Raw genomic sequence first — 13,929 nt, 5'->3', positions numbered from 1 at the left:
CCAGGGCCTGCTTTGAGCCCCCCAAGACATAGACTCTCTGGGGTTGGGGCCAGAGCTACATTTTATTTTTTTAATTGATCATTTTATATTTATTTGTATTTTTTAAGAGACAGGGTCTTGCTCTGTTGCCCAGGCTGGAGTGCAGTGGTGTGATCATGGCTCACTGCAGCCTTGACCTCCTGGGCTCAAGCGATTCACCCACCTCAGCCTCCGCGGTAGCTGGGCCCACAGGTGCACATGCTGCCATGTTTAGCTAATTTTTAATTTTTTTGTAGAGACAGAGTCTTGCTATATTGCCCAGGCTGGTCTTGAACTCCTGGCCTCAAGCAATCCTCCTGCCTCAGCCTCCTGAGTAGCTGGGATTACAGGCATGAGCCACTGCATCTGGTGCAGAGCTGCATTTTTTTTTTTTTTAGACAGAGTTTTGCTCTTGTTGCCCATGCTGGAGTGCAATGGCATGATCTTGGCTCACTGCAACCTCTGCCTCCCGGGTTCAAGCAATTCTCCTGCCTCAGCCTCCTGAGTAGCTGGGGCTACAGGCATGTGCCACCATGCCTGGCTAATTTTTTTGTATTTTTAGTAAAGACGGGGTTTCACCATGTTGGCCAGGCTGGTCTTGAACTCCCAATCTCAGGTGATCCACCCGCCTCAGCCTCCCAAAGTGCTGAGATTACAGGCATGAGCTACCGTGCCTGGCCCCAGAGCTACATTTTAAACAACTCCCCATCCCCGTGCAGCTCCAAGAGCCACTGTCCCTGCCTTAAGTATCCCAGGCCCTCCCGACCTCCACTCTGATGCAGCCCCCACCAGAAGACTGGCGCCTTGGGAGGTGGGAGGCAGGACAGGGTCAAGGTGTCCCTCTGTGCCCTCCCTGCCATCCCTTCCCCTTGGGCCAGCCAGTTTTCCAGCTGTCTCTAGGTCAACAACCGTGGGAAAAAGTGACCGGGTGGAAAAGCAACCTATTTGGGGCATGATCACACTCTGCCCTGGTCACCCAGTTCTCCCGTGTCCCAGCCTCTCTCTGAAGGATCCATTCCTGGTTGGGGGTGCAGGGATGCAACCTTCCTAGGGATCAGGCCCCGGGTCAGGTCTGGGAAGGGCCGGTAGGGAAGGACCTGCTAGGGGCCATTCATAAGCACATTCATTCAATCCACACAACACGTGTTTGCAGCAGCTATTATTATCTCTGTTTTTACACACTGGAATTTGAACTGGGGTCTCTCCAACCACAACCCAGGGTCTAGATCACAGTGGAAAACTCCAAATTCCTTTTGTGTCCAAGCTCAGGACTGTCACACAGCTGCCTCCAGCGTCTCTCTCCCATAATGTCCAGGGTGTGGGCGTCCAGCCTCGGCCCAACCAGCGGGTGGCAAGGTGCCCTCTCCACCCTCTCTGGAGTCCTGGAGTCCGGCCCTCTTCCAGGGCAGTGGCCTCTGCCTGGCAGAACATCACCATGCCCTGGGCGCTGAGGGTAGAGGCTCTCGTCCTGGCAGAGGCTGCAGGCACGTAATTCATTTAATTGGACTTCAGCGGTGGTTCTGGCCACACCACACCCCAGGAGACCTCGGAGGAGTTACTCTTCTCTGAGCTTCCTTTGTGTAACTGTCAGAGCCGTTTGAACCAGAGTGACTCCACCTTGAAGAGCAGCTGGGTAAAATGAGGCTGACACTGGCTGGGCTGCATTCCCAGGCGGTTAAGGCATTCTAAGTCACAGGATGGGATAGGAGGTCGGCAAGTCCGATATCACAAGATACAGGTCCAAAGACTTTGCTGATGAGGCAGGATGCAATAAAGAAGCTGGCCAAAACCCACCAAAACCAAGATGGCGACTAAAGTGACCTCTGGCCACCCTCACTGCTCATTAATGGTAATTAAAATATATTAGCATGGCGTATAGGCACAGTGGCTCACTCCTGTAATCCCAGCACTTTAGGAGGCTGAGGCAGGTGGATCACGAGGTCAGGAGTTCAAGACTAGCCTGGCCAATATGGTGAAACCCCATCTCTACCAAAAATACAAAAATTAGCCGGGCGTGGTGGCACGCGTCTGTAGTCACAGCTACTCGGGAGGCTGAGGCAGAAGAATCGCTTGAACCCAGGAGGTGGAGATTGTAGTGAGCCGAGATCGTGCCACTGCACTCCAGCCTGGGTGACAGAGCGAGACTCCGTCTCAAAAACAAAATATATATATACACACACACACAGATATATTAGCATACAAAAGACACTCCCAACCAGCCCCATGACAGTTTACAAATGCCATGGCAATGTCCAGAAATTACACTATATGGTCTAAAAGGGGGAGGAACCGTCATTTCTGGGAATGGCCTGCCCGTGTCCTGGAAAAGTCATGAATAATCCACACCTTGTTTAGCATATGATCAAGAAATAACCATAAAAATAGCCAGTCGGCAGCCCTGGGGTTTGCTCTGCCTATGGAATAGCCATTCTGTATTAGTCTGTTTTCACACTGCTGATAAAGACATACCCAAGACTCGGTAATTTATAAAGAAAAAGAGGTTTAATGGACTCACAGTTCCACGTGGCTGGGGAGGCCTCACAATCATGGTGGAAGGTGGAAGCCATGTCTTACATGGTGGCAGGCAAGAGAGCACTTGTGTAGAGAAACTCCCCTTTATAAAACCATCAGACTTGTAAGACTTATTCACTATCATGATAACAGCATGGGAAAGACCCACCCCCATGAGTCAATTACCTCCCACCGAGTCCCTCCCAGCACATGCGGGAATTGTGGGAGTTACAATTCAAGATGAGATATGGGTGGGGACACAGACAAACCACATCACATTTTTTTATTCCTTTACTTCTCTAATAAACTTGCTTTCATTTGCTGGACTTGCTCCAATTCTTTCTTGTGCAAGGTCCAAGAACCCTCTCTTGGGCTCTGGATCTGGACCCCTTTCTGGTAACACAAACAACACTTGATGAGCACAGAACCCACAGACAGGCCCCTCTTATCCAGTTCTAAACTGGGAATTCTCTCATTCATTCTACAGGCATTCATGGAGGACCTCTTATGGGAAAGGCGTTATTCCTGGGTTGGGGGTAGAGCAGGGGACAGGACAGGCAAGGTCCCTGTACACCTGGCACTTACATTCTAGAGAACATCAATGCTGGGCACAGTGTCTCACGCCTGTAATCCCAGCACTTTGGGAGGCCGAGGAGGATGGATCACCTGAGGTCAAGAGTTCAAGACCAGCCTGGCCAACATAGTGAAACCCCATCTCTACTAAAAATACAAAAATTAGCTGGGCGTGGTGGCGTGCACCTGTAATCCCAGCTGCTTGGGAGGCTGAGGCTGCAGAATCACTTGAACCCGGGAGGCTGAGGTTGCAGTGAGCTGAGATAGTGCCACTGCACTCCAGCCTGGGTGACAGAGTGAGACTCTGTCTCAAAAAACAAAAAACAAAAAAACCAAAAGGACCCGCCCTGACCTTCTCCCCAGATTGTTTCCTTTGGGACCACAATTGACAACCTCCCAAACGCTTATGCAACTGGAAGAAGGGCTTGGGATTCAGCAGAGAACACAGATATCTCCTTCTGCCTGACGTGGCTCAGTTTTTATATTTCTGTTTATACAATCTGTTCACAAGTAGACATTTGACAGTTGTTTACCTTCTGCTTGCTTCCCATTAGCATCATGTTGGGAACGTGACTTAGGTCTGTCGGTTCCCCAAGAAGCAAAACCCCTAGTCCAGCCCCAATGGGAAGAGAGGGATCTATAGTAGCAAGGCCCCGTGTCTGTATGCAAACAGGACAGAGCTCCTTTCAGCTCTGCGGGGGCCAGCATGCTGACTTAGAAAAGCAGGTAAGAGGTCGGGCGCAGTGGCTCATGCCTGTAATCCCAGCACTTTGGGAGGCCAAGATGAGTGGATCACAAGGTCAGGAGATCGAGACCATCCTGGCTAACATGGTGAAATCCCATCTCTACTAAAAATACAAAAAAATTAGCCGGGCGTGGTGGTGGGCGCCTGTGGTCCCAGCTACTCGGGAGGCTGAGGCAGGAGAATGGTATGAACCCGGGAGGCAGAGCTTCTAGTGAGCCAAGATCGCGCCACTGCACTCCAGCCTGGGCGACACAGCGAGACTCCATCTCAAAAAAAAAAAAAAGCACGTAAGAGTGTGGTGTCCAGTTAACAGTCCTGTCCCGATGACTGACTGTCTTCGGCAATTGGTCTGAGCTATAAGTGGATCAAAAAGTAATAAAAGAAAGGTTAGGTGTGGTGGCTCCCATCTGTAATCCCAGCACTTTGGGAGACTAAGGTGGGAGGATCACTTGAGTCCAGGAGTTTGAGACCAATTTGGGCATCATAGTGAGACCCTGTCTCTACACACACACACACACACACACACACACACACACACACACACACACACACACACAGGCCCCCACCCCCCACAAAATTAGCCAGGTGTGGTGGCGCATGCTTGTGGTCCCAGCTACTTGGGAGGCTGAGGCAGGAGGACCGCTTGAGCCCAGGAGGTTGAGGCTGCAGTGAGCTTTGAGTGCACCACTGCACTCCAGCCTGGGTAATAGAAGGAGACCCTGTCTCTTAAAAAGAAAAAGAAGAAAAAAAAATTTATAAGAGACAGCTGAAAATGCTGGAAAATCTAGTCATCTGGGCTCTTCCAGTAAAAGGGCAGATAGTATTAAATCTGAAAAACCAGAGCGAATCTTTACATTAAGAAAATCTTGGGACATATTAACAATACTAAGACTGCCTGTGTGCCAGACACTATTCTAAATGCTTTTCAGATCTTAATGCAATAACTTGTAACTGTTTTATGAAATAAACACTATTGTACTATTATTTATCCCCCAGTATCAGAGAGGATGGGCTGGAGCAGTGGTTCTCAAAGCGTGATCCCTTGACCCCCAGCATGGACTTCCCTTGGGAACTTGTTAGAAATGTGAATTCTGGCCGGGCACAGTGGCTCATGCCTGTAATTCCAGCACTTTGGGAGGCCGAGGCGGGCAGATCACTTGAGGTCACGAGTTTGAGACCAGCCTGGCCAACATGGCAAAACCCCATCTCTACTAAAAATACAAAAATTAGCTGGGCATGGTGGTGGGTGCCTGTAATCCCAGCTACTTGGGAGGCTGAGGCAGGAGACTCGCTTGAACCTGGGAGGCGGAGGTTGCAGTGAGCTGAGATCATGCCATTGAACTCCAGCCTGGGCAACAAAGCAAGACTCTGTCCCTCCCACCAACAAAGAATAAGACCAGAAATGTGAATTCTTAGACACCAACCCAGATCTGCTGAATCAAAAACTCTGGGAGTAGGGCCCAATTTTCACAAGGCTTCTCGATGTTTCTAATGAATGCTCAAGTTTGAGAAGCACTGAGCTAGATTTGCTGTCGTATCGAAAACTCTCTAAGGGGCTTAACACAGCAAAGAAATAGTTCTTCCTCACGCTTCTTGTCCACCGGGGGTGGAAAGCTCACCACAGCACTCAAACACCCTTTGGAAATGGTCCTAAAGGCATTTCAAAAGATGAATAAACATTTATTCAACAAATCTACTCAAATTTAATGAGAACAGTGAGAGTCTGTGGTATTGAAATTAAGACCCACTCCCCACCCCCTGAGCTCAAATAGATGGAAATTCCATTCCACACTAAAGGTCCCCTCCCTCCTGCTCCCAGTAGGAAAGATTTCCTCCCAGGAGGGGCAGGAAATCAGAATTTCTCACCTTGTCCCCAGCTACTGGTCGGTGAAACATTGTTCTGGGCAAGTATGCCTGTAACCGCCCAAGGGGTTCACCTTGCCCACTGCAGACAGAGCCAATTTACTGAGACAGGGGAATTGCAATGGAGAAAGAGTAATTCATGCAGAGCCAGCTGTGTGGGAGACTGGAGTTGTATTAATTACTCAAATCTGTCTCCCCAAGCATTCAGGGAGCAGAGTTTTTAAGGACAACCTGGTGGGTGGGGGGAAGCCAGTGAGCCAGGAGTGCTGATTGGTCAGGGATGAAATCGTGGAGAGTTGGAGCTGTCTTCTTGTGCTGAGTGTGTTCCTGAGTGGAGGCCACAAGATTAGATGAGCCAGTTTATCGAACTGGATGGTACCAGCTGCTCCATCAAGTGCAGGGTCTGCAGAATATCCCAAGCACTGATCTTAGAAGCAGTTTGGAGAGGGGTCAGAATCTTGTAGCCTCCAGCTGCATGACTCCTAAACCATAATTTCTCATCTTATAGCTAATGTTAGTCCTATAAAGGCAATCTAGTCCTCAGACAAGAAGGAGGTCTGCCTTGGGAAAGGGCTGTTACTGTCTTTGTTTTAAACTATAAACTATAAACTAAGTTTCTCCCAAAGTTAGTTCAGCCTATGCCCAGGAATGAACAAGGACAGCTTGGAGGTTAGAAGCAAGATGGAGTCAATTAAGTTAGATCTCTTTCACTGTCTCAGTCATAATTTTGCAAAGGCAGTTTCATGCCCAAGAGGTGAGGTCTCCCACCTTCCACGCAGCCCCTACTCTGCTGTGGGCATGGCACCACTGAGGCTACTGGGGTCCTCAGCCTCTTTGTTCTGGCTTGTAAGACAGAAGTCACTTGGCTGGGTGTGGTGGTTCACGCCTGTAATCTCATCACTTTGGGAGGCTGAGGCGGGCGGATCACCTGAGGTTGGGAGTTCGAGACCAGCCTAGTCAATGTGGTGAAACCTCGTCTGTACTAAAAATACAAAAATTAGCCAGGCGTGGTGGCGGACGCCTGTAGTCCCAGCTACTTGGGAGGCTGAGGCAGGAGAATCGCTTGAACCCAGGAAGCGGAGGTTGCAGTGAGCCAAGATCATGCCACTGCACTCCAGCCTAGGCGACAGAGCAAGACTCCGTCTCAAAAAAAAAAAAAAAAGACAGTTTCTATGGTGGGAAAAGCAAGCCAAAAAGACCTGAGGCTACTTCTCCTCCACTGAGTGCTCAGCCCCTAAAGCAGGAGTGTCATTCAGAGAGAAGCATAGATTGTCCCATCCCCCAGCTATACAGCAATGGCACAGAGATTTTGCCCAGAAAGTGAGGTGGGCTGTAGCACAGAGATTTCCAAGTCTCTTCCCAAAGGAACTGACTTCATTGGCAACTGAATGTAGAAAGGTTGAAGCCTAAGGGTGCTCTCAAAAACAGTAGAGGTTGTGGTGAAAGATAATTGGAAAGAGATTGGTAGATTCATTGGAGAGGTAGGCTAAACTTTAGGCTGGCTAGTTTTCTGGAAACAGCCAGGGAAGGAGACCACTGAGAGGTGTCCTTCTGGGGTCAGAACAAATCTCAAACACTGACCTTGGGACTTATTTCTTTAAAAATGAGCCTGAATTTTATTGGATTAGTCTGATTGGGACAATTTATGTCCCAGGGGAATGTTGAGAACAATAGAGCTCTATCAGGTATAGGTTTTATTTAAAAAAAAAAAGAGAGAGAGAGAGAGAGAGAGACAGAGAGAACAATAGAGCAATCAACTAACAATTAGTAGAGCTTAACAACTGGGTGTGGTCAGGGAAAAAGATGGTCAAATAGAGACCTTCCCAGACCACTGTCATCTCAGGGCGACTGGGGCATATCCAAGGCTGCATCCCCTAAGAAGCAACATCAGAGGCCACATGCTTAGGAGAGGAAGAGGGTGGAATAGACTATGCTAAAATAATCCATCCAGACCAGCTGTGGTTGTTCATGCCTGTAATCCCAGCACTTTGGGAGGCTGAGGAGGAGGATCTGCTTAAACTCACCTGGGCAACACAGAGAGACCCTGTCTCTATAGAAAAAAAAAAAAAAAGGAAAGAAAAAAGGTTATCCAGGTGTGGTGGTGCATGCCTATGGTTCCAGCTACTTGGGAGGCTGACTTGGGAGGATCACTTGAGCCAGGGAGGTTGAGGCTGACGTGAGCTATGATTGCACCACTGCACTCAAGCCTGGGCAACAGAGTGAGACCCTGTCTCAAAAGGAAAAAAAATCCATCCAGTCATTAAACAAATAAGCAAGTAACAAAAATAACCCCTGGAAGTGGATGATCAGTACTGTGTTGCTACACTATATTATCTAAAGTGTTTAGTTTCCAACAAAAATATATGAGACATGCAAAAAAACAGATGAGTATGACCCATACACCAGGAAAAAAGCAGGTAACAGAAACTGCCTGTGAGAGTGATCAGATGTCAGATTTAACAAAGACCTCAAAAAAGCTGTTAAAAATGTGTTAAAAGAACTGTCAGATGTGAGTTCTAAATTTCTCTTCAAAGAATCAATATGACCCATCCTGGCTAACATGGTGAAACCCCATCTCTACTAAAAATACAAAAAATTAGCAGGGTGCTGTGGCAGGCACCTGTAGTCCCAGCTACTCGGGAGGCTGAGGCAGGAGAATGGCGTGAACCTGGGAGGCGGAGCTTGCAGTGAGCAGAGATCGCGCCACTGCACTCCAGCCTGGGCGACAGACGGAGTCTCTGTCTCAAAAAAAAAAAAAAAAAAAAGAATCAATATGTCAGTATGTTCAATTCTTTGCTTTCTACTTTTAAACTTAAATTCCTTGTAAAGCAACCTTTTCCGATTACCTGCTCCACCCTGACTCATTCTGATTACCTGCTCCACCCTGAATCATTCCGATTACCTGCTCATTCTCCACCCTGACTCATTCCGATTTCCTGCTCTGCCATAACAATTTTTCCCGCCAAACCACTCACGCCGTCACTCTCTTTAAATTAGCCAATCGGAATTAGTTTAGTCTGTGTGGTCTAACCCTAGCCAATAGGGGAATGACACAGCAGCAGGGGCCACGTGCGTAAGGGGTAAGAACCCCTTCCCCTCCCTTGTCCAAGTGTGCACTTACCATTGCTCCATCTGTAAGGGTGCACCCTTCTATAGAAGTACATTGCCTTGCTAAGAATTAAAAAGAAAAGTTTATATTTGAGTGCTGTTTCTTTTGCGGCACCGAAACTTTATTTATAACAAGAACTAAAGAAAACCATGATTAAAGAATTAAGGGAACGTATGATGACAAAGTTGCATCAAGTACAGAATATCAATAATGAGATAGAAATTATAAAAAAAAAAAATGGAAATACTAGAATTGGAAATACAACAACTAAACTGAAAAATACACTAGAAGTACAGCAGTAGATTTAAACTGGCAGAAGAAACAATTAGTAAACTTGAAGATAGCTTAATAAAGATTATGCAGTCTGAAGAACAGAGATTTTTTAAAAGTGTGAAGAGAAATGAACAAAGCCTCAGAGAAATGTGGGACATCATTGAACACAATGGCAGTACCAGAAAGAGAGGAGAGGGAGGAAGGAACAAAACAAAATATTTAAAGCAAGAATGGCTGAAAACCACCAAAATCTATTGAAAAACATTAATTTACGTCTTTAGGAAGCTCAACAAACTCCAAATAGGATAAAGAGATCCACAAATAGGCATGTCGTAGTGAAAATATTGAAAGCCAAAGCCAAAGAGAAAATCTTGAAAACAGGAAGAGGAAAACAACTCATCACCTATAAGGGAACCTCAGGAATGACAGCTAGGCCAGGTATCGTGGCTCATGCCTATAATCTCAGCACTTTGGGAGGCTGAGGTGGGAGGATTGCTTGAGGCCAGAAGTTCAAAATCAGCTTGGTCAACATAGCAAGATTGTATATCTACAAAAGAAAAATAAAAAAATTGGCTGGTAGCACATGTCTGTAGTTCTAGCTACTCAAGAGGCTGAAGCAGAGGATTGCTTGAACCCAGAAGTTCTAGGCTGCAGTGAGCCATGATTATGCCACTGTACTCAGGCCTGGGTGACAGAGTGAGACTCTGTCACAAACAAACAAACAAACAAATAAACAAAAAGAATGAAGGCCAAAAGGCACTGAGATAGATAAAAAATATTCAAAATGCTCTAGGGAAAAAAAAAAAAATCTGTCAACCAAGAATCCTTTATCCAGCAAAGCTATTGTTTGAAAACGAAAGCAAAATAAAGACATTCCCAAATAAACAAAAAACTGGGATAATTAGTTGTTTGCAGGCCTTCCTTATAAGAAATACTAAAGAAAGTTCTTCAGGCTGAAAGCAAGTGACCCCAGACAGTAAATCACATAAAAAACAAACAAAAAAAATCAATAAAGACAATTATATAACTATAAAAGACAGTATAAAGTCATATTTGGCCGGGTGCAGTGGCTCATGCCTGTAATCCCAGCATTTTGGGAGGCCAAGGCAGGCAGATCACTTGAGGTCAGGAGTTCGAGATCAGCCTGGCCAACATGGTGAAACCCTGTGTCTACTAAAAATACAAAAAAATTAGCTGGGTGTGGTGGCATGTGCCTGTAATCCCAGCTATTTGGGAGGCTGAGGCAGGAGATTCGCTTGCACCTGGGAGGCAGAGGTTGCAGTAAGCCAAGACCATGCCATTGCACTCCAGCCTGGGAAACAAAACAAAAGTCCGTCTCAAAAAAAATGAAAAAAATAAAAATAAAGTCATATTCCTTCTTCTTTCTTCTCTTAACTGTTTTAAAAAGCAAAAGTATACATCTGTATAGTATGTATTATTGGGCCTATGACATATGGAAATGTAATATATTTGCCAATAACAGTGCAAAGGAGATGAGTGGGAGGAAAGCTGTATTGAGTGAAGAAAATGACTCAAGATAGTAACTTTATTATTATTATTATTATTATTATTATTTGAGACAGAGTCCCACTCTGTCGCCCAGGCTGGAGTGCAGTGGCATGATCTTAGGTCACTGCAACCTCTACCTCCCAGGTTCAAGCAATTCTCCTGCCTCAGCCTCCCAAGTAGCTGGGACTACAGGCACCCACCACCATGCCTGGCTAATTTTCGTATTTTTAGTAGAGATGGGGTTTTGCCTTGTTTGCCAGGCTGGTCTCGAATTCCTGGCCTCTAGTGATTTGCCCACCTCGGCCTCCCAAAGTGCTGGGATTACAGGTGTGAGCTACCATGCCTGGCCTTAATCTAATTTTTACCTTTGCTGTTCAGTAATAATTTAGTTAAATAAATAATTCTAAGTTCATTCTTATTTTCTCTTAGCACTTTAAAGATAATTCTTCAGGATAGTCTTTATTTTTAAAAAAGAATTTTTTTTTTTTTTTTGAGACAAGTCTTGCTCTGTTTCCCAGGCTGGAGTCCAGTGGCACAATCTTGGCTCACTGCAACCTCTGCCTCCCGGGTTCAAGCAGTTCTCTGCCTCAGCCTCCTGAGTAGCTGGAATTACAGGCACCTGCCACCACACCCGGCTAATTTTTTGTATTTTTAGTAGAGATGGGGTTTCACCATCTTGGCCAGGCTGGTCTTGAACTCTCGACCTCAGGTGATCCATCCGCCTCGGCCTCCCAAAGAGCTGGGATTACAGGCGTGAGCCACCGCGCCTGGCCAAGTTTTTTTAAAGTTTTAGAGAAGGAATGAAAGGAAGTACACTTGGAAGAGGGCCAAGTGGGTGACTTGAGAGATTCAAGTGCCCTGTCCAACCCTTGCCCTGGGTTTTGTCTTTTGAGACAGGGTCTTGCTATGTTACCCAGGCTAGACTACTGTGGCCATTTACAGGTGCAGCCACTGTGCCCTCCAGCCTCAAACTCCTGGGGCCAAGGAATCTTTTTGCCTCAGCCTCCCATGTAGCTGGGACTGTAGGTGCATGCCACTGGCTATTCATTTATTTGTAATTGACAAATAAAATTGTCTATATTTATAGTGTACAACATGATTTGAAATATACATACATTGTGGAATATCTAAATGAAGTTAATAACAAATCCTTTGCCTCGCATATCATTTTCTTGTGGTAATACTTAAAACGTACGTTCTTAGCAAGTTTCAAGTATCCAATACATTGTTATTAACTAAAGTCACAGCTGAGTGTTGTGGCTCATATCTGTAATCCTGGCACTTTGGAAGACTGAGTAGGGAGGACTGCTTGAGCCCAGGAGTTCGAGACCAGCCTGGGCAACATAGTGAGACTCTCATCTCTACAAAAAGTAAAAAAAAAAAAAAGAAAAAAGAAAATTGGGTGTGGTAGAGTGTGACTGTAGTCCCAGCTACTTGGGAGGCTGAGGCAGGAGGATTGCTTGAGCCTGGGAGGCGGAGGCTGCCATGAGCTATGATTCTGCCACTGCACTCCAGCCTGGGCAGTAGAGCGAGACTCTGTCTCAAAATAAAATAAAATAGTCATTATGTTGAACAATAGATTTATTGCACTTATTCCTTCGGTCTAGTTGAAATTTTGTATCCTTTGACCAACATCTCCCCAGTCCTTTCCCACAGCCTGTGGTAACTACCATTCTACTCTGTTTCTATGAGTTCTGCTTTTTAAAATTTCACATATAAGGGAGATCATGTGGTATTTACTTTTCTGTGCTTCGTTATTTCACTTAATATAATATCCTCCAGGTAGTCACAAATGATAGGATTTCCTTTTATTTACTTTATTTTTATTTATTTATTTTTTTGAGACGAGTCTTGCTCTTGTCACCCAGGCTGGAGTGCAATGGCCCAATCTTGGTTCACTGTAACCTCTGCCTCCTGGCTTCAAGTGATTCTCCTGACTCAGCTTTCTGAGTAGCTGGAATTACAGGCATGCACCACTACACCCAGCTAATTTTTGTATTTTTAGTAGAGACAGGGTTTCACCATATTGGCCAGACTGGTCTCGAACTCCTGACCTCAGGTGATCCACCTGCCTCGGCCTCCCAAAGTGCTGGGATTACAGGCATGAGCCACTGCACCCTGCCAGATTTCCTTATTTTTAAAGGCTGAATAGTATTCCACATTTTATTTATAAGACAGTCTTCTGACTCCTTTTTTTTTTTAAGACAGAGTTTCACTCTTGTTGCCCAGGCTGGAGTGCAATGGCGAGATCTCAGCTCACCACAACCTCTGCCTCCTGGGTTCAAGCGATTCTCCTGCCTCAGTCTCCCGAGTAGCTGGGATTCCAGGCATGCGCCACCATGCCTGGCTAATTTTGCATTTTTAGTAGAGATGGGGTTTCTCCATGTTGGTCAGGCTGGTCTCGAACTCCCGACCTCAGGTGATCTGCCCGCCTCGGCCTCTCAAAGTGCTGGGATTCCAGGCATGAGCCAACACACCTGGCCGACAGTCTTTTGACTTCTAATGTTGCTATTGATGAATCTACTGGCAGAATAACTGTCATTTCTTTGAAGGCAATCTTTCTTTTCTTTTTAAAAATAGAGACGGGGTCTTGCTATGTTGGCCAGGTTGGTCTCAAACGCCTGACCTCAAGTGATCCTTCCACCTCAGCCTCCCAAAGTGCTGGAATTACAGGCATGAGCCACTGTACCGGGCCAGTCTTTTCTTTTTCTTTTCTTTTCTTTCTTTTTTTTTTTTTTTTTTTTTTTGAGAGGGAGTCTTGCTCTGTCTCCAGGTTGGAGTGCAGTGACACGATCTTGGCTCACTGCAACCTCCACTTCCTGGGTTCAAGTGATTCTCCTGCCTCAGCCTCCTGAGTAGCTGGGATTACAGGCATGCACCACCACACCCAGCTAATTTTGTATTTTTAGTAGAGACGGGGTTTCTCCATGTTGGTCAGGCTGATCTTGAACTCCCAACCTCTGGTGATCTGCCAACCTTGGCCTCTCAAAGTGCTGTCATTACAGGTGTGAGCCACTGTGCCTAGTCTGTCTTTTCTTTCTGATTGCCTTTTAGATCTTTATGATGTTTGACAGTTTCATAGTGATGTGTCTAGGTGTGGATTTATTTATATTTATCTCACCTAGAACCAGTACTTTTTGAAACTGAGGACTGATATTTTTCACAGAAGCTGGGACTTGGTAGACATCATCTCTTTGGATATGTCCTCTCCACCATTTGCCTCTTCTCCCTTCTATAGAACTCCTTGTAGATGTATGTTGGAATTTCTCATTCTATTCATGTCTTTTATTCTCTCTGTATCAGCAAGCTTTTGCTCTGTAACAAATCA

The 13,929-nt window shown here is 46.0% G+C and overlaps 2 annotated features.

Moving 5' to 3' along the window:
- Positions 932 to 1,432: an enhancer, noted in NCBI's record as "H3K4me1 hESC enhancer chr7:72810219-72810719 (GRCh37/hg19 assembly coordinates)". NCBI's record gives its function as "activates a minimal SCP1, AML or CMV promoter by ChIP-STARR-seq in primed H9 embryonic stem cells {active_cell/tissue: H9 hESC(primed)}" and the evidence as "EXISTENCE:reporter gene assay evidence [ECO:0000049][PMID:30033119]".
- Positions 1,433 to 1,933: an enhancer, noted in NCBI's record as "H3K4me1 hESC enhancer chr7:72809718-72810218 (GRCh37/hg19 assembly coordinates)". NCBI's record gives its function as "activates a minimal SCP1, AML or CMV promoter by ChIP-STARR-seq in primed H9 embryonic stem cells {active_cell/tissue: H9 hESC(primed)}" and the evidence as "EXISTENCE:reporter gene assay evidence [ECO:0000049][PMID:30033119]".

The sequence above is a fragment of the Homo sapiens genome, chromosome 7 (genome assembly GCF_000001405.40).
Source record: "Homo sapiens chromosome 7, GRCh38.p14 Primary Assembly".
In the NCBI taxonomy this organism is placed as follows: Eukaryota; Metazoa; Chordata; class Mammalia; order Primates; family Hominidae; genus Homo; species Homo sapiens.
Note: the sequence above shows the minus strand (reverse complement) of the source record. Positions and strands in the feature narration are given on the sequence as shown.